The sequence below is a fragment of the Homo sapiens genome, chromosome 3, assembly GCF_000001405.40.
Source record: "Homo sapiens chromosome 3, GRCh38.p14 Primary Assembly".
NCBI lineage: Eukaryota > Metazoa > Chordata > Mammalia > Primates > Hominidae > Homo > Homo sapiens.
The window spans coordinates 20,053,430-20,076,817 of record NC_000003.12 but is presented as its reverse complement, the minus strand read 5'-3'; the positions used below and the strand labels follow the sequence as shown (position 1 = coordinate 20,076,817).

The 23,388-nt window shown below is 40.9% G+C and overlaps 1 protein-coding gene across 3 annotated transcripts in view, besides 2 other annotated features; it reads right to left on the bottom strand.

Moving 5' to 3' along the window:
• KAT2B (lysine acetyltransferase 2B) overlaps nucleotides 1-23,388 on the bottom strand; it is a 113,959-nt gene that overhangs the window by 77,587 nt on the left and 12,984 nt on the right. For 2 of the 3 annotated variants that reach the window (NM_003884.5, XM_005265528.5), the window contains exon 2: nucleotides 4,359-4,485. In NM_003884.5, the coding sequence (NP_003875.3) occupies nucleotides 4,359-4,485 (127 nt within the window). Of the gene's footprint in view, nucleotides 1-4,358; nucleotides 4,486-5,154; nucleotides 5,235-5,330; nucleotides 5,455-23,388 lie in introns of all 3 variants that reach the window. The other variant, XM_047449147.1, reaches the window with a different exon arrangement.
• Nucleotides 17,736-17,905: an enhancer, noted in NCBI's record as "experimental_67745 CRE fragment used in MPRA reporter constructs". NCBI's record gives its function as "activates a minimal promoter by MPRAs in K562 erythroleukemia cells, with activity observed for the non-introgressed 3:20100490 variant allele {active_cell/tissue: K562}" and the evidence as "EXISTENCE:reporter gene assay evidence [ECO:0000049][PMID:34662402]".
• Nucleotides 21,621-21,860: an enhancer, noted in NCBI's record as "active region_19582". NCBI's record gives its function as "activates an Ori minimal core promoter by ATAC-STARR-seq in GM12878 lymphoblastoid cells {active_cell/tissue: GM12878}" and the evidence as "EXISTENCE:reporter gene assay evidence [ECO:0000049][PMID:35858748]".

Sequence of the window (23,388 nt, the reverse complement as noted above, 5' to 3'; positions counted from 1 at the left end):
TGTATTTGAGAATTCAGGCTTGCGTAATTCCTAACAGAATTCCCTAGACCCCAACTTGTACTTTGTCGGTAACAATTAAGAAGATATCTGCATGAATAAGATAAGAAAAAATGTAGGAAACTTGCTAAAATACTCTGGCAAATAAAAGCAGGGGGTTAGATACAACAAAATTGGCAAATGTAAATAATCATTAGAGCTGGGTGCTGAGTCCAAGGCAGTTCATTCAACTATCCCTTCTGCCTTTACGGGTGTTTGAAACTTTCCATTAAGAAAAAAAGTTTTTCAAAAAGCACGGAAAGGAGGGAGGAAGGAAGAGTAATCTCAGAAAAAGGTTTTCTAGAGCTGTTATACTAAGACCAATAAATAAACACTGGCATTCCAACAATAATTCCAAGACCACTTGAAAATGTGCAGTAATTTCAGTTTTAAGAAAGCAGACTAAAGAATAGAGAAGAAACAAGGAAGAAAGGAAGGAGTAGGGGGAAATATTTTTTAAATACCTATACCCCCCGTACCCTGAGAAAATCAGTCAGCAACTCAATATACATCCTTCCAGACCTTTTCCTGATCATATATATTAAAATACATGTTTGTGGTATAGTATGAAATATACTTGGTCTTTGTCCCAGTTCCTGTCACAAGCTCTTAAAACCCTTGGGATTTCCTGAGCAGGAGGAGTATCTTTTATTGTTCATCATGAGCCCCTTTCGATCATACCTGAGTTTATGCTAATGAGGTGACTTAAGATAGTGCACAGATAACCCAGGATGAAGCTGCTCACCAGAGAGACCAGGTTATTAGAAGATTAAAGGATTGGAACCTTCAACCCCACCCATCAATCTACAAGAAAGGTAAGGGAGGGAAAGTGTAGAGATAAAGCCGTATGAAAAAAATTTTTTTTTTTTTTTTTGAGATGGGAGTCTCGCTCTGTCGCCCAGGCTGCAGTGGTGAGATCTCGGCTCACTGCAGCCTCTGCTCCCAGGTTTAATCGATTCTCATGCCTCAGTCTCCCAAGTAGCTGGGATTACAGGCTCAAGCTTCCAGGTTGCTGAACATGTGGAGGTGCCTGGGGGGTCGTGCACCTGGAGAGGGCAAGGAAGCTTCACTCCCCTTCCCCAAACCTTGCAATGTGCATCCCTTCATCTGGCTGTCTGTGTATCCTTTATATTAAACCAGTAAACTGAAGTGTTTCCTTGAGTTCTGTAAGCCATCCTAGCAAATTATTGAAACCAAGGAAGGGGTATGATGGGAACCCTGATTTATAGCCGGTAGGTCAGAAGCAAAGGTCATAACCTGGGACTTGCAATTGGCATCTGAAGTGGGAGCACTATTGTGGGACTGTGCCCTTAACCTGTGGGATGTGATGCTATCTCCAAGTAGGTCATGTCAGAACCGAAATGAATTATGGGACCTCCAGCTAGTGTTCAGAGAGTGGGAGAATTGCTTGGTGAGTGAAGAAAAAAAAAACCCACACATCTGGTCACAGAAGTGTTCTGTGTTGAGTAAAATAGAAAAAAGTTTTATACTATTATATTTTCTTTTTTCTTTTTTTTTGAGACAGAGTCTCGCAATATCGCTCAGGCTGGAGTGCAGTGGTGCAATCTCGGCTCACTACAACCTCCGCCTCCTAGGTTCAAGCAATTCTCCTGCCTCAGCCTCCCGAGTAGCTGGGATTATAGGTGCTTGCCACCATGCCCAGCTAATTTTTGTATTTTTAGTAGAGACGGGGTTTCACCATGTTGGCCAGGCTGGTCTCGAACTCCTGACCTTGTGATCTGCCAGCCTCGGCCTCCCAAAGTGCTGGAATTACAGGCGTGAGCCACCACGCCCGGCCTTATGGTATTATATTTTCTAAAGTAATAAAATGGGATCATACTCATGAAACATCAATGCTGTTTCTGAGTCAGCATCCTGTATTTGGGAAAGGACCAACTTCTTAGTTCCCTTGGGGTAAACTTCAGAGTTAAACACATAACAGGCACAAGCTCCTCCACAGGGTATTTAAATCCTGAACCAATACTCACAGGGACAGAGGCAGTTGGAGTTGAATCCTAAATGATTCAGTGGCAGCAGACTGAACAGAAGCTCTGTGAACTTCTGCAGCTGAGATCCCCAAACAAGATCAAAACCTGTTTTCCCATTGTTTTCAGCTTCTAGAAGCTACTAGTACCCTTCTTATATGCATTGTTTTCTTATTTAAGCTAGACAGAGTATATATCTGCTGTGTGAAGTAAAAGAACCCTGATAGTGTTATAGTACCACTACTACGAACAACATCAGCCAATAATCATGTATTTACATGCCAGGTACTATTCTAAGATTTTTTCTTATCTCATTTAATCCTCACAATGATCCTGCAAGGTAAATACTACTATGTATTAACCCATTTCAGAGTTGAAAAAACTGAGGTCCAGGCAGATTAAGTAATGTGCTCATACTCACAGCTACTGGTTATAGAGTTAGGATTTGAACTCAGGCTGATAGATCCAATAATTTAGTCCTAAATTATAAAACCTCCTATCAAGCTGCTTTATTACCTGATTTCTTCACAATCATCTCCTACATTGGAATATTTAGGTTGTTTCATGCTTTTTACTATCGTAAGTAAGGCCAGAAAACACTGTCACCGTCCTTTTAGTTTAATTTGAGGGCACATCTTAATTTACACACAGATTAAATTTCTGGCATGGATTTGCCAGGTCAAAGGATATGTGATTTTTTTTTTCATTCTTCATTCTTGATTATGTATTGCAGAATGAGGGCATTTGTTTTCAAAGCTTGGTAAGAAATAAAAAAGGAAACAAAGTTGGCTTTTTTTGTGAAGCACTGTCTCTGCCTTCAGGCATTCATGTGTGTTTACGTGCTTAGAATGGAGACAATCTGCTCGGCTAAGAAAGAAAGAAGATCCTGTTTTAAATGTTAATTGATGTAGGATAATAGGATTTCCCAATCAATAACAAATACACTTCAAGCCTAGGGCTTAAGGATTTCTTGAGTCCAGACATTTATTACGTCACATTTCCTGAGGCAATCCTAAACTCCATTCACTCCATTCAGAGTTAGTGATTGTTTTGTTTCGTTCTGTTTTATTTATTTATTTTTTTAAAAAGGTAAATTATAATCAAGGACAGTTCTCTAACTTTTGAAATTTTTGCTCTGTATTGAGTGCTTCAAAACTCAGAGCTCACATTGTTTGAGATACCAATTAAGTCAACAAAATGATGAAATTATTAGTGTGTTGCTTTTGTGAGATCAGGACTATTTCTATTTTCAGAAGGTTATTCCAATGTGATGACTTCTTGGGAAGATCACATTATCTACTTGTATGCTCTGTAAATATTGAAATACTCTCTGAGTACAAAATAAAATTTCAGACGACCTAACACCATGCTAACCTTGGAGGCGACACCATTTCTTGTAAGCAGGAAGCTCTAGAGAAATGATGGCATAAGAAGTCACCCACTTATAATGGTCAGGTGGAAAGAGCAACTACCTTAGCAAGAACGTTCTGCCCAGTGAGTGCTATGTCCTTGCAGTCACGGACAGCAAACTGGCCTTGTTGACATTTTGGGGGAGACTGTATAACTGAAGGCAGGAAAGTAAGAATAGTCTAAGATTCTTCGTGGACTGAAATTTTAGTATCTAGGAAAAACTAATTCCTCAACTTTTATCTACTCAAACAACACATGATTTTTTTAAATATTTTAATCATAAAACTAGTATTAGGACAAAGAACAACATACTAGCACAGGCCTTTTGAGTGACTGCAGCAGAGCCTACTGAGCCATCACTGACAATGATTATTTTGCAGGGTCAGATAAGAAAGTTGAAAGGGAAACCACCAGTAAACATTCAATAAACACAATAAAGAGCAGCCCAGTGAAGAAAGAGCTATCAGATACACAAAACTAAGGAATATGAAGATAAAATGAAGCACCCCAGAAAGTTCAGGGCAACAGAAATAATAAAAATGATCATTATTATCATTAAACCAGTTGGTTGAGGTTTCAACCCTGAGGTCAAAGACCCTCAGGCCCCAACCCCCAAAATGAATCAGGACATGTTACACATTATTCATGCTAACTAGCTCGATTGTCATGTTTCATCTTATTTGGCAATCCCCCAGTCCAACTCAGCTCTTGAAAGGAAGAAGGGACAAAGTCACTGCACACAGTGCAGCATTTGTCTCTCACGAGAAGCCCTTCCCAGCAAACTCGTGAGACTAGAGAGGCTCTTGTTGTTGCTCTCATACAGAGGTACACAGCATTCAAATTTGGTGAACCCACAGAATTCAGTAAGTTAAGAGTCTCACGCTACAATGAACTCGTTATACTTTCCTTGAAGATTTAGGAACTCACCTAGGGCATGGCTACAACTCCGACAGGATTCTGTTAGACTGACAATTATTTGCTGCAGGTCGGCTCTGGGGGGAGTGGGTGAGGGGTTAGGGTTTTTCCAGCCATTACATTTACAAGACTCCTCGGCCTAAAAATGGAATAAAGAAAGAGACAAAATTATTTAACAGGCAGCCGTGGACTGATGGTTTTACATGAGAACAATGTACACTAATTATATGACAGCTATCCCCTCACCCCTGACTTTGTCGTCTGCCATATACACAAGAGAAAAACAGAAAACCCAAAGGTGGTATTTGATTTGAGTGCTTTGCTTTTTGTTTTCTTTTGTTGTCTGCTGGCTGGAATCTGCATGCTACAGCTCACGCAGCTGACCCACACACTTTGCTACCATTGCCCCCAGTGGGTGTCCATGAAGTGGTGAGTTCCAAGAAAGTCCATCTCAAAAGATGGACATTCCAAATCCACAAGCCAGACTCCTGATGTCCCACAAACACAGCTAAGGTCTAGGCTAAGGTTGAGCCTTGCAGGTTCCAAGGCACCAGCTGCATCTCTGCCCCATGGACCAGAAGGGAAACCCATAGAACCGAAGAAGTTAGCAATCTTAGGAAGATGAGACGGGGCACACCCAGCTGAAGGCACACTTGCAGGCTCCTCCAAGACTTCTGTGAGCTCCCAGCTTTAGAAATGAAGAGGGCTTCATCATGTAGTCCTGGGTTTCTACTTACACGTACATTTCCCAGGTTTCCTGTACTAGAACACCATTATTTTAGCAACACTTGATAGAAAGCTTCCTTAACTTTGTCCACATACTCTTCACACTTCCCTATGTTTGTAGCCAAGAGTGAACATGATGTAGCCTTCTTTAAGTGATCTGACCTATGAAATGGAAGGCAAGCATGAAAAATTATCAATTATTCTACCAGGTACCACACTGTATGCTTCAGCAGGTCTCAACGTATGAAAGGTTCATACCTTTCATTTGTGCTTGCAATGAATGACCTCAGCCACTTATAAAAATAATTCTTCTGCCCCTTCTCTACTATTCTTAGCACTCTGTCACTCTCACCATTTATTTACTGCTTCAAGTCAGCTGTGGCTGGGAAACCAGAAGATACATTGTTAGAATAACATGTAACACAGATGAAGTCACTCTAGGGTAGAGCCATCTACATATACTATCCAGTACGGTAGCCTCTGGCCACATGTGGCTATTGAGCACTAGAAATCCAGCTAGTTCAAATCAAAGTGCACTGTAGTTGCAAAATATACAGATTTAGAAGACTAGCGCAAAATATAAAATACATCATTAACAATGTTTATATTACATATTGAAATTATATGTTTAAATGTATTATTTTGGATATATGGGTTAAAGAAAAGATATTATTAATATTGACTTATTTTTACTTTTGTAATACAGTTATCCAAACTTTTTGGTTTTTTTTTTTTTATATACAGAGTCTCTCTGTGTTGCCCAGGCTGGAGTGCAGTGGCAAGATCTTGTCTCACTGCATCCTCCACCTCTCAGGTTCAAGTGATTCTTGTGCCTCAGCCTCCTGAGTAGCTGGGGTTACTGGCATGCACCACCACACCCAGCTAATTTTTGTATTTTTAGTGGAGGCAGGGTTTCACCATGTTGCCAAGGCTGGTCTCGACCTCCTGACCTCAGGTGATCCGCCCACCTTGGCCTCCCAAAGTGCAGGTATTACAGGCGTGCGCCACCGTGACCAGCAGCATAAGTCTAATTTGAAGAAAATTGTCAGAGTGGCTGCTGCTTTGACCTCATACATAAAATTCTCCAGGACAGAGATCATTTCTGAAGTGTGTATATATGTGTAACAGTATAAGAAAAGAGAGGCCGGGCACGGTGGGTCACGCCTGTAATCCCAGCACTTTGGGAGGCCGAGGTGGGCGGATCACGAGGTCAGGAGATCGAGATTACCCTGGCTAACATGGTGAAACCCCATCTCTACTAAAAATACAAAAAATTAGCCGGGCGTGGTGGCAGGCGCCTGTAGTCCCAGCTACTCAGGAGGCTGAGGCAGGAGAATGGCGTGAACCTGGGAGGCGAAGCTTGCAGTGAGCCGAGATTGCACAACTGCACTCCAGCCTGGGTACAGAGCGAGACTCCATCTCAAAAAAAAAAAAAAGAAAGAAAGAAAGAAAAGAGAATAAACGATTGGCAAGGTAAGAAGGGTCATGGTAGAAGAAAAATCTGCCTTTGAATGAGTCCTTTTCAGTGGGCCATGTGAATCTGGAATACCTAACCTGACTGCTTTTCCCATTTTGTATTAATGAGGATGGAGAAGGCAGGGCCAGGAGAAGCACCTACATCAGCATCCCCATAGCTACATCCCCCAGTGAGTAGCTCAAGTGACCGTCTTTTGTCTAGGCATCAGGAAGGCCCAACTCTTACCCCCAGAGTTCTCTGTTGCCAGGCTGAACCTGGCCTTGAAATTCTCTGTAATGAACCATCCACCTCTTCAGAGGTTGCAAAGATCTCAGAGGCCATGTTCTTGAAGGAAATTGTCATGAGAATTTACAATGAAGACAGTGAATAGGAGAATATGGCAAACCGAAATATACAACTTTGGCCTAAGGGTTATTAAAATGCAGATACAAGAAAAGCTTGGCCGGGCGCAGTGGCTCACACCTGTTATTCCAGCACTTTGGGAGGCCAAGGCGGGTGGATCATGAGGTCAGGAGTTCAAGACCATCCTGGCCAGTCTTGAATGGTGAAACCCCGTCTCTACTAAAAATACAAAAATTAGCCGGGTATGGTGGCAGCCACCTGTAATCCCAACTACTCAGGAGGCTGAGGCAGGAGAATCACTTGAACCCGGGCGGCAGAGGTTGCCGTGAGCTGAGATTGCGCCATTGCACTCCAGCCTGAGCGACAGAGTGAGACTCTGTCTCAAAAAAAAAAAAAAGAAAAGAAAAGAAAAGAAAAAGAAAAGCTCTCTGCCCTCCCCTATATCCCCAGAAGCAGGACATAAATTCTTAAAGGTATCCCCACTTCCCTCTCTAACAAGAAGGACAGAAGTTGATCTTGGAGACAACTCTTGACCTTTATCAGCCCAGATAGGGTACCAGGGGAATCTACATAACAAACCTTGCTAAAACCAGCCCTGATCTACCATTGGTTTCCCCACATACTTGCCTTCCCACAATCTGCTGTCCCTAGCAGCTCAAGGTCCTTTTCCTTTGTCTTCTCACTTCTCTAAAAATTTACTAGTCTTTGCTGAGATAGCCTATAAGCCCAAGTTCTAACTACCTCCTTGAGTTACTCTTCACTGGGTGCTCTCATGTTCATACGCAATGAATATGTCAATAAACTTGTTTTTGTTTTTCTCTTGTTAATGTATTCTGTTAGTCTGACTGACAGGGCCCCAACCAATGCACCTAAAATGGTAAAGGGAAAACAGCTTTCTTCCCCTACAAAAGTATCACTAAGATTTTGTAGAGTCAGAGGAAACCACCCTTATTGTGGGCCAACCTCTCTTAGTTGCCGCATAGCTACTTCCAGGAACTCCCTAAGCCTCCAGCTTTTCTGAATAGTTGGTCTGATCCACAGCCCTTTCCCAAAGGACCTTAAGTTAGAGAAAGAAAAATGACTAAATGGCCCCAACAAAGCAATTAAATATGGCAGGCCAAACCTAGAAGGAAAAAACAGTAATAACCAAAAACACCTTGAGTTTGGAGAACAGCATTTCAAGCCAAGCAGTTATGCACACTGACTCATTCTTTCAACAATATTTATTGAGGCCTACTACATGCCAGGTACTATTGACTATGAAACAAAGATTCTGCTCTCCTGGAGATTACATTAGGGGTAGCCGGGGATGGGGAAAACAAGATTAACACAAATGAGTAAATTATAGAATATACTGGAGAATGTGATGGTGCTATGGAAAGAAAGAAAAAAGGATGAGTACAGGGAACTTAGCAGAGGGTGGGATAAAAGGTATAATTTTAACTAGGACTTTTTGAGATGACCTTAGAGCAAAGACTTGAAGAAAGGTGGGAGTTGGTCATTAGGTATCTAGTATAAGGGAAACACAGCTAGCGCAAAGGCAAGAGAGTGCCTGGCTTGCTCAACAGAAAGTAAAGGCCAATGTGGCTACAGCGCAGTGGGTAAAGACGTGTTGAAATTAAACCAGACAGGGTCAAGCACAGTGGCTCACACCTATAATTGCAGCACTTTGGGAGGCCGAGGCAGGCGGATCACCTGAGGTCAGGAGTTCGAGACCAACCTGGCCAACATGGTGAAATCCCATCTCTACTAAAAATACAAAAATTAGTCGGCATGGTGGTGCACACCTGTAATCCCAGCTACTCAGATGGCTGAGGCAGCAGAATCGCTTGAACCCGGGAGGCAGAGGTTGCAGTGAGCCAAGATTGCGCCACTGCAGTCCAGCCTGGGTGACAGAGTAAGACCTTGCCTCAAAAACAAAAAAAAAAGAAAGAAAGAAAAAAGAAATGAAATTAAGCCAGACGGGACAGGCACAGGTAATCCTAGAACTTTGGGAGGTTAAGGCAGGCAGATCACCTGAGGTCAGGAGTTCGAGACCAGCCTGGCCAACATGGCAAGACCCCATCTCTATTAAAAATACAAAAATTAGCCAGGTGTGGTGGTGGGCACCTGTAATCCCAGCTACTTGGGAGGCTGAGGCAGGAGAATCGCTTGAACCTGGGAGGCAGAGGTTGCAGTGAGCCAAGATCGCACCACTGCACTCCAGCCTGGGTGACAGAGTGAGACCCTGTCTCAGAAGTTTAAAAAAATATAAAAAAATAAATAAAGAAAGAATTCAAGGATCTAAAACTTTTCTTCCTATGGGCTTGCTTATAAAACTCTGCCTTGCCCTGAGATGCATGCTAACAAGTAACAAGCTTTAAATTCTTGGAGAAGACAACACAGAGTTTTAGAGATATAGATCTTAACTTCATTGTTGCAACAGACTAAGTTCAGTCAGCCCAGAAAAAAAGTTTATTTATGCCCCTTCTTGTCTTAACATGACAGAGAATAATGGCTGTGTTCACTGGGGGCTCATAAATGGGTGAGTCACAAATCTCATGGCAGGGAGATCTGTAATAATAAGGTCTTATATTTCCCCTACTCAATAAAAAAAAAAAGTTACATCTTGAATATTAACCGCACGTGTTGAAACCACTTGTGATAGAGTGCTTAATGAATTCTACCATACAATAAACACTGATGCTTAAAAATGTAACTGAATAAAGATCTTTTCTTTCAAAACTGGCTGATTTTACTTCCTCCACTGAGTCTTGGGATCCCAGTACAAAGTATATTTTTATTTCTTTTGTTCATAATGACTGAGACTTCCCAAACAAATTAAAATTCCCTGAAAACTAAGAGGAATGAAGAGAGGGAGACAACATGGGGTGAAACACTGAGAAGCATAAAAGTTTTGTCAGCCCCGCAGCACTCCAACTGTGCTGTCCAAGATGTGGCAGCCAGCCACAAGCGAATACGGAGTCTTTAAAAATTGGCAATAAAAATTGAGATGTGTTATGAGTGTTTGAAAATACACCCTGAATTTCAAAGACTTCGTATTAAAAAATGTTAAAATATCACATTAAGAATTATTTTATATTGATTACATATTATAATAATATTTTGAAATATTCAGTTAAAGTAAAAATTAGAATTAATAAAATTAAATTTTTGGCTTTTCTGATTTTTTTTTTTTAATGCGGTGCAGTGGGTTAAATAGTGTGTGCCCTAAAGTTCATGTCCCAGCCAGGTGCGGTGGCTCATGCCTGTAATCCCAGCACTTTGGGATGCCGAGGTGGGAGGATCACACATGAGGTCAGGAGTTCGAGACCAGCCTGGCCAACATGGTGAAACCCTGTCTCTAATAAAAACACAAAAATTAGCCAGGCATAGTGACACATGCCTGTAATCCCAGCTACTCGGGAAGCTGAGGCAGGAGAATTGCTTGAACCCAGGAGGCCAAAGTTGCAGTAAGCTGAGATGGCACCACTGCACTCCAGCTAGGTGACAGAGTGAGACTGTCTCAAATAATAATAATAAATAAAGTTCATGTTCCCCTGGAACCTCAAAATGGGGCCATATTTGGAAATAGGTTCATTGCAGATGTGATCAGTTAAGGACATGCAGATGAAATTATCCTAAGCCCTAAAACCAATGACTGGCGTTTTCCTAAGAGAAAGAAGAAGGAGATTTGGAGACAGACACAGACAAACAGTAAAGAAGGCCAAGTGAAGATAGAAGCAGAGGCTGGATCTCACTATGAGACAGACCAGGGTCTCACTATAAGCCAAAGAATGCCAAGGATTGCCAAGCACCACCAGATGCTAGGAAGAGGCAAGGAAAGATTCTTCCCTACAGCCTTCAAAAGGAGTGTGGCCCAGATGACATCTTGATCTCAGACTTCTAGCCTCCAAAACTGTGAATAAAAAAAAAACTGTATTTGTTGTTTTAAGCCACATATTTTGTGGTTATTTGTTATGACAGGCCTAAGAAACTAATACACAGGACTACTAGAAAATGTTAAATAATACATGCGGCCTCCATATTACTATTGGATATTGGTGCACTAGACTATAAAGGGACTCCACCCCCAAGCCCCAGGTCTTCACTATGGACCCTAACAGTTTAAGCATAGAATAGTCTCAGCATCCCTAAGTGGTCCTAACTCTTTAAAGTTATACCCTATTGATATATATGAGAATCCCTTGAGTTTTCCTTACTTGTTTCAGTATTTTTTGCAGGATATGAAAATTGGTTCTTGCATGTGTGCATGCTCCATGGGACACCTAACAACCTAAGTGTACAAAATTTTTAATATATATGGGACTCGTTACTTGATTTGCTAAAAAGGACATACTGTGTCCTTTAAAAAACAGTCAATGCTCTTATCCTTGACTGCCAGCAAAGCATTTTCTGCCAAGTTTTCTGAGCTGCTGCTACCATGCCCTCCACTTTGGCCTTCATCTCCCCATTCCAATGTTCAGGCCTGGCCACTGTTCTTCGAGATAAGAGGTCTCCTTTCAAAACACCTTTCCCATGTCTCTCCTTAATTAGGCATGACAGCTGCTGTCTAAGGGAACTCCCAAGGGAGTTGGCCTTGCAGCTTTAATGAAGTACCAGCTGAAGGACAACCTTTTAGGGAGTGCACTGCCAAGCCAATTACTGTAGCAGCTAGCAACCTGGGCACAGGGAGGGGAAAGCTACCCAGATGACTTCATCCCCCCAAGAGCACATCTCTGCAGACATTGCAGAACCAAGAAAGAAGAAAAGGCCACTGCACTACTTTCAACAGGACTGGGATAATGTTTTCATCCCAACAGGATCCAGGGTTAGAGGTCAATAGTATGCAACCGATGTTGTTATAGTATGCAGAAACCAGGATGGATGATGAGAAAGAAGATAAACTGGATAAACAAGTAGTCACAACCCAGATTACAGACAGACAAGGGGTGGAGAGCTCACAGTTCACGCAGTGTTAATGAGTGAGATGGGTGTGAAGATATTTGAGTGGCATCCAGAGGAACAGGAGAAAGACAGCCAGCTGTCTAGCAAAATTCTGTCATGCTTAAAATATTGGAAAGTCGCATTTGTTGGAAAACTTAAATTAGTGTCAAGGATGTCCCACAGCAAGAACACGTTGATGGAAAATTTATTCAGTATAACTGATCCAACATTTATTTAGCACCCAAAATTAAAAATGTACATGTACTCTTATCTCACTCGATGTAAGTAAAGTATGAATTATTGCCATTATTAAAAGAGAAAGCTGAGGCTCTAGGTGATAAGAGACTTGCCTGGGGTTACTCATTCTACCCTGCAGATGCACAAAATGTGTCCAGGCAGGTAACTGGCACTGTGGTTGTGAGAGAGGAAGGACTCACTCTTATTCACTACCTCTCTGCTCCATGCTGGACAAAGTCATAATGTTTAAATGTCAAGGATCAAAACCGTAACTTCTCACCCAATAAGATCTCTCTAACCAAATATAGATAGGAGGAGTAAATTCTGGTGTTCTATCGCACAGCAGAGTGACTATAGTTAACAATAATATATTGCATATTACAAAATAGCTACAAGAGAGGATTTTGAATGTTCTCATCACAAAGAAATGACAAGTGATTGAGGTGATGAACATGCTAATTACACTGATTTGGCCATTACACAATGTATACATGTTTCAAAACACCACACTATGCCCCCATCAATATGTATAATTATTAGGTGTCAATTAAACACAAAATAAGTTCTTTTTTCAAAAGGAGCTGACAATAACAAATTATCAGGCATGTGAAAAATTGGAATCCTCATACAGTGTTTGTGGGATGTAACAAGGTACAACCACCTTGGAAAACAGTTTGCTAGCTTCTTATATACTAATGGAACAGAATAGATAGCCCAGAAATAAACCCTCACAGATAATGGTCAAATGATTTTGACAAGTGTGCCAAGACCATTCAATAGAGAAAGGACAGTCTTTTCAATAAATGGTGCTGGAAAAACTAGGTATCTGTGTGCACAAGAATGAAGCTGGACCCTTAGCTAATAACACACACACAAATGAACTCAAAATAGATGAAAGACTTCAACATAAAATTGTGAATCTCGGCCGGGCGTGGTGGCTCACGTCTGTAATCCCAGCACTTGGGGAGGCCGAAGCAGTTGGATCACGAGGTCAGGAGTTCAAGACCAGCCTGGCCAACATGGTGAAACCCTGTCACTACTAAAAATACAAAAATTAACCGGGCATGGTGGCTCACGTCTGTAATCCCAGCTACTTGGGAGGCTGAGGCAGGAGAATTGCTTGAACCTGGGAGGCAGAGGTTGCAGTGAGCTGAGATTGTGCCACTACATTCCAGCCTGGGCAACAGAGCAACCATCTCAAAAAAAAAAAAAAAAAAAAAAAAAAAAAAGAGGCCTACTCAGAAGTTGCTGTGAGGTGAGATCGCACCACTGCACTCCAGCCTGAGCAACAGGGCGAGACCCCATCTCAAAAGAAAAAAAAAGAAAGAAAGAAAGAATCTCTTAAAAGAAAATACAGAAAAAATCTTCATGATACTAGATCAGGCAATGGTGTCTTGGATATAATACCAAAAGCACAGGCGGCCAGGTGTGGTGGCTCAGGTGTATAATCCCAGCACGCTGGGAAGGTCAGGAGTTCAAGACCAGCCTGAGCAACAAACAAGACTCCATCTCTACAAAAATTTTAAAAATTAGCTGGACATAGTGGTGCACGCCTGCAGTCACAGCCACTCAGAAGGCTGAGGCAGGCAGATCCCTTGAGCCTAGGAATTCGAGGCAGCAATGGGCCATGACTGTGCCACTGTACTCCAGCCTGGGAAACAGAGCAAGATACTGTCTAAAAATAAATAACAAAAACACAGGCAACAAAAGAAAAACAGATAAACTGGAATTAGGAAAAACTTTAAATTTCTGTGCACCAAAAGACATACACAACAGAGTGAAAAGGCAACCCAGAGAATGGGAGAAAATATTTGCAAACCATATATTTGATAACAGGTTAATATCCAAAATATATAAAGAATGCCTACAACTCAACAACAACAACAACAACGAAATTTTACAATGGGCAAAGGACTTGAGCAGACACTTCTCCAAAGAAAATATACAAATGGTCAATAAACACATGAAAAGATGCTCAACATCATTAATAATTATGAAAATGGGCCAGGCACGGTGACTCACGCCTGTAATCCCAATACTTTGAGAGGCTGAGGCAGGTGGATCACCTGAGCTCAGGAATGCAAGACCAGTCTGGCAAACAAGGCGAAACCCCGTCTCTACTAAAAACACAAAAATTGGCTGGGCGTGGCGGCGCATGCCTGTAATCCCAGCTACTCGGGAAGCTGAGGCAAGAGAATCGCTTGAACCCAGGAGGCAGACGTTACAATGAGCCGAGATCATGCCACTGCACTCCAGCCTGGGTGACAGAGCAAAACTACCTCTAATATATATATATATAAAATAAAATATATATAATTTCTATATATTATATATTATATATAATAATATATAATATATAATATATAATTTATTATGTTATATATAATATATTATAAATTATATATAAAATATATTATATATTATATTTTATACATAATAAATATTTTATATATATTATATTTTATATATTATATATTATATTTTATATATTATATATTATATATCATATTTTATATATTATATATTTTATATATATTTTTATATATAATATATTTTATATAAAATATATATATTTTATATATTATATATTATATATATTATATATTATATATTTTTATATATTATATATTTTATATATATATGTTTTATATAATATATATTATATGTTTTATATATAATATATATTATATGTTTTATATATAATATATATTATATGTTTTATATATAATATATATTATGTTTTATATATAATATATATTATATGTTTTATATATTATATGTTTTATATATAATATATATTATGTTTTATATATAATATATATTATGTTTTATATATGATATATAATACATATTTTATATATAATATATAATACATATTTTATACAAATATATTATATATTTTATGTATATTATATATATTTTATGTATATTATATATTATATACTTTATGTATAATATATAATATATAATATATTTTATGTATTATAAATTATATATTTTTATGTATAATATATTTTTTCATATATATTATTTTTTCATATATACGTATGAAAATACAAATTAAAACTACAATGAAATACCACCTCACTCCCATTAGCATGGCTACTACAAAAGAAACAGAAAACAGTGTTGGAGAGGATGTAGAGAAACTGGAAACCTTGAATATTCCTGCTGAAGACGTAAAATGGTATGGCTGCTATGGAAAACAGTATGACAGTTCCTCAAAATATTAGAAATGGAATTACTATATGACGCAGCAATTCCACTTCTGGGTATATACCCAAAAGAATTGAAAGTAGGAAGTCAAAGAAATATTTGGACACCCATGTCCTAGTATCATTATTAAGCACAACAGCAAGAAGGTCCAAGCAACCCCAGCATCCCTTAAGAGATGAATAAATAAGTAAAACGTAGTATATACATTCAAAGGGCTATTATATAACCTTAAAAAGAAAGGCAACTCTGACACATGCCACAACCTGAATGAAACTTGAGAATGTTATGCTAAGTAAAATAGTCACAAAATGACAAATACTGTATGATTCCACTTAGATAAGGTGTCTATGGTAGCCAAATTCATAGAGATAGGAATGGTGGTTGCCGAGGGGTTGGAGGAAGGAAGAGGGAGTTACTGTTTAATGAACACAGAGTTTCAGTTTTGCAAGCTGAAAAGTGTTCTGTGGATGAATGGTGGTGATGATTGCACAATAATGTGAATTTCTTAATACCAATGAACTAGACACTTAAAAATAGTTCAGATGGTAAACTTTAGATCATCTATATTTTACCACAGTTTTGTTGTTGTTGTTGTTGTTGTTGTTTTGAGACAGGGTCTCACTCTGTTGCCCAGGAGTGCAGTGGCATGATCATGGTTTATTACAACCTCAACCTCCTGGGTTCAAGCAATCCTCCAACTTCAGCCTCCTGAGTAGACAGGACCACAGGCATGTACCTCTACACCTGGATAATTTATTTTATTTTATTTTTTATTTTTATTTTTTGGTAGAGACAGGGTCTTACTATGTTACTCACGCTGGTCTCAAACTCCTGGACTCAAGGGATCTTCCCACCTCAGCCTCCCAAAGTACTAAGATTACAGGCCATGAGCTACCATGCCCAGCATTACCACAGTTTGTTGTTTGTGTGTTTGTTTGTTTGTTTTTAGACAGAGTTTCTCTCTTGTTGCCCAGGCTGGAGTGCAATGGCGTGATCTCAGCTCACTGCAACCTCCGCCTCCTGGGTTTAAGAGATTCTCCTGCCTCAGCCTCCCCAGTAGCTGGGATTACAGGCATGCACCACCATGCCCAGCTAATTTTGTATTTTTAGTAGAGACAGGGTTTCTCCCTGTTGGTCAGGTTGGTCTCAGACTCCCGACCTCAGGTGATCCGCCCGCCTTGGCCTCCCAAAGTACTGGGACTACAGGCGTGAGCCACCATGCCCAGCCCACAGTTTTTTAAGAAACAACAATTTTTTCAAAAAGTTAAACATAAATTTACCACATGACCCAGCAAATCCACTAAGTATCTACCCAAGAGAAACAGAAATATATCCATACTAAGACTTGCATGCAGATGCCTCAGCAACATTATTCATGATAGCCAAAAGGCAGAAATAATCTAAATGCCCATCAACTAGTTAACGCATAAGCAAAATGTGTTCTAGTCATATAACGGATTATTACTTGCAATGAAAGATAAAGAAGTGCTGACATATGCTACAACATGGATGTATCTCAAACACATTACACTCGGCATAAGAAGCCCATCATAAAAGGCCACATACTGTATACTTCCATTTACATGACCATCCAGAAAAGGCAAATTTATAGAGACAGAAAGATTAGTGGTCATCTGGGGTGGGGGGTAGGAACAGGGTTAACTGTAAATGGACCCAAGGATCCTTTGGAGGTGATGGAAATCTTCTAAAAGGTAGATTGTGGTGATGATTGTACAACTTGTCAATTTCTTAAAAATCATTGAATTGTACACTTAAAACTAGAGAATATTATGGTACCTAAATCATAACTCAGTAAAGTTTTTTTTGTTTTTGTTTTTGTTTTGAGATGGAGTCTCGCTCAGTCGCCCAGGCTGGAATGCAGTGGTACGATCTCGGCTCACCGCAAGCTCCACCTCCCAGGTTCACGCCATTCTCCTGCCTCAGCCTCCCAAGTAGCTGGGACTACAGGCGCCCGCCACCACACCTGGCTAATTTTTTGTATTTGTAGTAGAGGTGGGGTTTCACCGTGGTCTCGATCTCCTGACCTCGTGATCCACCTGCCTCGGCCTCCCAAAGTGCTGGGATTACAAGCGTGAGGCACCACGCCTGGCCTTTTTTTTTTTTTTTTTTTTTTTGAGACAGAGTCTCTGTCGCCCAGGCTGGAGTACAGTGGCATGATGATCTCAGCTCACTGCAACCTCCGCCTCCCAGGTTCAAGCGATTCTCCTGCCTCAGCCTCCCGAGTAGCTGGGACTACTAGACGCATGCCACCACGCCTGGCTAATTTTTGTATTTTTAGTAGAGACGGGGTTTCACCATGTTGGCCAGGCTGGTCTCGAACTCCCGACCTCAAGTGATCTGCCCACCTCAGCCTCCCAAAGTGCTGGGATTACAGGTGTGAGCCACATGCCCAGCAAGATATTTTAATAATATTTTTAAAAAACAACACCTGGAGTCCACTGTAAGCAGCTGGGATTGCCAGAAGTTTTCTCTTTGGAAATGAGCAGTTTGAATTATGCTGATGTAATTAGGAGTAGTGCTTCTCAAACTCCAATCTACTCAGGAATCACCTGGAGATCTCATCAAAATGAAGATTAAGATTCAGTGGGTGTCGGGTGGAACCTGAGATTCTACATTTCTAAAAGTTCCTGGGTGAAGACCACTCTTTGAGTAGCCAAGATTTGAAGAGATAAAGATGGTTTGACTTCAGCAACACCTTTCTCTTCTCCCTGAATTAACTTTAGCTTTTCATATACAGATTAAATGGTTCAGTAATCCTTCCCTGGGACACAAGCCCTTTTTCTTCCTCCACTGTGTGACAATCCTTCCAGTTCACACAGTTGTACATGGAAGGCCAGCAGAAGATACCATAATGCTATGACTTCAAGCTGGGATTTTTAAACTATGGGAACTTTAAAAATCTGACACAAGTGAAAAGAGGAAAGTATACAGGGTGGGGATCAGGGTTCCCTCAGGAGAACAAAACTGCCTGGGATTGAGATAGAAATAGAATTGTAAGAGAGAAAAGATAACTAGTGAGGTAATTCACTATCAGAAGCATCTCTGAAAACCTTTTTTTTTTTTTTTTTTTTTTGAGACAGAGTCTCGCTCGTTGCCCAGGCTACGGTGCAGTGGCGCAATCTCGGCTCACTGCAATGTCCGCCTCCCAGGTTCAAGCAATTCTCCTGCCTCAGCCTCCCGAGTAGCTGAGATTATTGCCCACCAACACACCCAGCTAATTTTTGTATTTTTAATAGAGACGGGGTTTCACCATGTTGGCCAGGCTGGTCTTGAACTCCTGACCTCAGGTGATCTGCCTGCCGTGGCCTCCCAAAGTGCTGAGATTACAGGCGTGAGCCACCGCACCTGGCTGAATACCTTAATTTATGAGTGCCATTTTGGTCTGTGAAGCCACAAGGAATCAAAAAAACAAATATTAAAGAGTGGTCAAGGCTACAGAAAGAGAGTGGAAAGCATATCATGAGGAAATGACCCAAGACAAAACAACCCAGGTATAAATAAACACCTCATTCAAATTCTTCTCATCTATGCTCTCCATGGTTACTCCAAAATCAAATCAACAGAAAATCTTCATGACATCCCTGTCTGGAAGAAATCCTTGTGTTTATGCTGGAGTTGAATAAGAAACTGCCCTCCCTTTGCTAAATATTATAATTAGGTCCCGCTGACTGAAAGGTCTGGAACCCCCTTGGCAGGCTCTCTGAAGATGCTGGAATGGCTCCAGTTGTTACCAAATAGCCTAGGGGTTGGCCAGACCCTTCATTACATCCGAGTGACCTCTCCAGGAGCAAACCTAAGCATGCATTACCCCTGAAAAGGCCTCAGGAGGTCCTGGGTGACACTGGGGCCTAGAAACTAGTACCCTGGAATGCTAAATCCAAGACAATTTCTTTCCATTTAATACACACACACAGAATTTATCAGAAATTATCTGTCAAAATGCCAGAGCAGTCAGCTCAGACTTCGACACAGTGGAAAGATCTGTCAAACTGCTTGGCTAACATTGAGCAGTTCAGACAACCAGCTGACTAATAGAATTTTTCACCCTTCCGCCTGTTGTTTTGGCACCAAATCAACCAGGATGAGCAAAATAAGTAGTGCCTTATACGTTGTTTCCTTGGACAGCTCACGTTCTCATGGTATCAGTCATTATCTGAGATGATGACTCTCACATCCACATAACCAGCCCAACCTGTAAAGCAGAACTTCCAGCCCTCATTTCTAACTGCTTACATCCAGCATTTCTGCCCAGTCAGTTTTACAAAAAGGCTTGCCCTCCATCCCAATACTCCCTTTTCAACTACCCTATTCCCTTTGTTGGCACTGTCCTTCTCCCAGCTCCTAAGGTTAATCTGCACTCAATGCCCTCATCCAGGCCACCTGATTCTTCTTTCAAACTCTGTCAGATCTATACCTTCTCCATTCTCATTGCCAGGGCCCCAGTTCAGGCCCTTATCAGCCAACTAGAAGAAATACTTCCTCCCCTCTTCCAATACATTCCCACTCCCAACCTTCCTCCTAATACCAGCTCACATCACTGTACTCTAAAATGCCACTTAAGAACGTCAAGCATTTGTGTTTACTACTTTCCAAGGCAATTGCAGTCCAAATCATGTTATGTTCCCCTCCCAACAACCCTGTAGGACAAGTAATTCAATGCTTAGAGAAGGGGTGTGGCTTGCCTGAGTTCACTCAGCTGGCAAAGAACAAGAAGCCAACATCAAAACCTAGAACTCCTCTGTGGCATTCTAAAATACCTTGTGCCTCCTCCTTCTTAAAAGGCAAGGACACTATTATCAAATGGATTCAGTCCAAAATTTTCTACCTGAAATTCAAGACCTTCTATCAACTCATTTCTTCCTAACCTAGCAGACCCTATGTCCCAGTTTCTCTTTGACCATATTTCTCTTTTCCTCCAAGTTGGTTAGCCTCTTTATTAAAAACAATAATTATTATTTAGCATTGTTTTAATTGTAACAGTAACTGACATCTATGAGGCATTCAGAATGTCCCAGATTCTATACCAAGTTACTAAATACATTATTTCATTTTATCCTCAAAATAGCATTTGTCTATTAACAGACATATCTAATGTATCACCTCCAACAAAGAACTCTTTATTCTTACCCAAACCTGCTTCTCCTATGGTATTCTCTATCTTGGTAAATGGAACTACCATCCATTCAGTTGCTCAGGCCAAAAACCTGGACATTATCCTTCATTTCTGTCTTTTCATCACCACCTCCCTTGTAACAAATTAAGTCCTGTTGCCTCTACCCTTACAATATAGCCCAAACTAATTCTCACCCCTCCATTCCTGCTACCCTAGCCCAAGACACCATCTACTCATACCTAGACTATAATAACTTCCAACTGGCCCTCTTTATCTACTGTTTCTCTCATATACTTTATTCTTCTCAGAGCAGCCAGAGGGGTCACTTCAAACCGGAAATCTAATTTGAATTCACTGGAAACAGCCCAGATGTCCATAACAAGTCAACAGATAAACAAACTAGTACGTCCATACAGCAGAATACTCCTCAGCAATAAATAGAAATTAACTACCAATGCATCCAACACCACGGATTAATCTCAAAAATATACTGAGTGAAAGAACAGTATGTACTATGTGGTAACATTTATATGAAAAATAGCTAAATTAACTTAAAGTGACACAAATCAGATCAGTGCTTGCTTCCAAGGGAGAGAGACTTGAATGGCAAGGAGCAGGCAGAAATTTTCTAGGGGGATGGAAAAGTTCTGTCTTGATACGTATTTGTTGAAACGTATCAGAACTAAAGATCTTGACATCACTGTGTAAAAATTATATGTTGGCAATCTGGCCCCCATTTATCCCTTCCACCTAATCTCCTACACTCATACCCCCCACCCCACCCACCTCCATCTAGCCACACAGGTCTCCTGACAGGCCTCACACACGACAAGCCACTTCTGGCCCCAGAGTCTTTGCACGGCACCCTCTTCCTCACTTCTTATCATGCAGGCCTCGGTCCGTGTCCCTTCTGCAGAAGGATTTCCTGGGCATGTATCTAGAGGAATTCCCCAGGCATTCTCATTTAATTCTCTGTTTTCATTCTCTGCGAGGCACTTACCACTTTCTGTTATTTTCTGGCTTATTGTCTGCTTCTGCTACCAGAAAGCAAGCTCTGCAAGAATAAGGACCCATCTGTCACTGTATCACCAGCATCTAAATCAACACCTGGCACATTAAATAACAATTTGTTGAGTAAACGGAAAAAGTTGACATATATCACTGTCTCCACATTACAGCTGCGAAATCTGAGGCTTGTAAAGCATAAGTAACCTCCCCATAGTCACACATCAGGGTTCAAACCCAGGCAGTCTGGTGCCCAGGTCCATGTTCTAAACTACTCTCACGTCTGGCTCACAACAGTTTTGCTTCTCTGCTTGGTTTTACTCTGTTCCCTCTATCTGGGCTGGGTCTCTCTCCCACCCTTTCACCTCCCCCTGGCTCACAATGGTTTCTCTCTGCATTGACTTCATGCTTGATTATTCATTTTAATTTTTCTTTCACTTAATATCTGTCTCCTCAACAAGAAAAGGGCTCCTTGTGGCTTTTGCTTCCTTTTGCACATGTAGCAGAGAAGTGGCCACAGGCCCCTAACCGGTGCTCACAGATGTGTTCCTTTCGAGGTGGGATGAGTCAGGTAGTCCTGTGAGTATGTGCCAATCCTGGGTTACATGACTCACTTCATTATTTCAAAGTATGCTGACCTTGGCATCTTTGGCATTCTGCCATCTAGTTTCAACACCAGCTTGTCAGAGCTGATGCAAATTGGCACTGCCACCATCAATCACTATGATATTACTCAGGTCTCATCCTTGTACTTCTGGAACCTCCTGCATACCACACAAACCTCGCAAAAAGCTGCACAAGCCAAGAGTACACAACGCATGGGGACTGATTAGGATGGCATGGAATTTAATGGAAGCAACCCCATACAACTTGCCCTGAGGTTACTGACAAGATTACCCTAAACCTCCTCCTGATATTAGGTGATGTATTGTTCCAAGTGGACCATTAGAGACATTATTCACACTTTTTTCCAAAATAAATGCATCCATCTCCTTCACATCTGTAATCAATCCCAGCACTTTGGAAGGCCGATGAGGGTGGATCACGAGGTCAGGAATTCAAGACCAGCCTGGCCAAGATGGTAAAACCCCGTCTCTACTAAAGATACAAAAATTAGCTGCGTATGGTGGCAGACCCCTGTAATCCCAGCTACTCAGGAGGCTGAGGCAGAGAATTGCTTGAACCCAGGAGGCGGAGATTGCAGTGAGCCAAGATCGCGCCACTGCACTGCAGCCTAGGTGACAGAGCGAGACACCGTCTCAAAAAAAAAACAAAAAAACAAAAAACAAAAACAAAAAAAAATAAGTCTAAAGCCGGACACAATGGCTCATGCCTGTAATCCCAGCACTTTGGGAGGCCGAGGAGGATGGATCACTTGAGGTCAGGAGTTTGAGACCAGCCTTGCCAACATGGCGAGACCCCATCTCTACTAAAAATACAAAAATTAGCTCGGTGTGGTGGTACATGCCTGTAATCTCAGCTACTTGGGAGACTGAGGCAGGAGAATCACTTGAACCTGGAGATGGAAGTCGCGGTGAGCTGAGATCATGCCACTGCACTCCAGCCTGGGCTACAGAGTGAGACTCCATCTCAAAAAAATAAAATAAAATAAAAATAAATAAAAAATAAGCCTAAATGGTAAAGGAACAATTAAAGAAAGTCTATTGTAGACTTTAAAGTGGGCCACAAAGTAACAAAAAATATAAATAGTAGTTTAAAGAATGCCTTCATATACAATTGATTTTTAAGTTTACTAATATAATACAGACTTCTAGAATATATGCTAAAACTTTGTCTCACTTTGTAGCTTTTAACTCACTGATCTCATAACACTCATATACCTTCCTGAGTTTTTTTGTTTTGTCTTGTTTTTTGAGACAGGGTCTCACTCTGTCACCCAAACTACAGTGCAGCAGCACACTCACGGCTCACCACAGCCTCGACCTCCTGGACTCAAGTGATCCTCCTGCTTCAGCCTC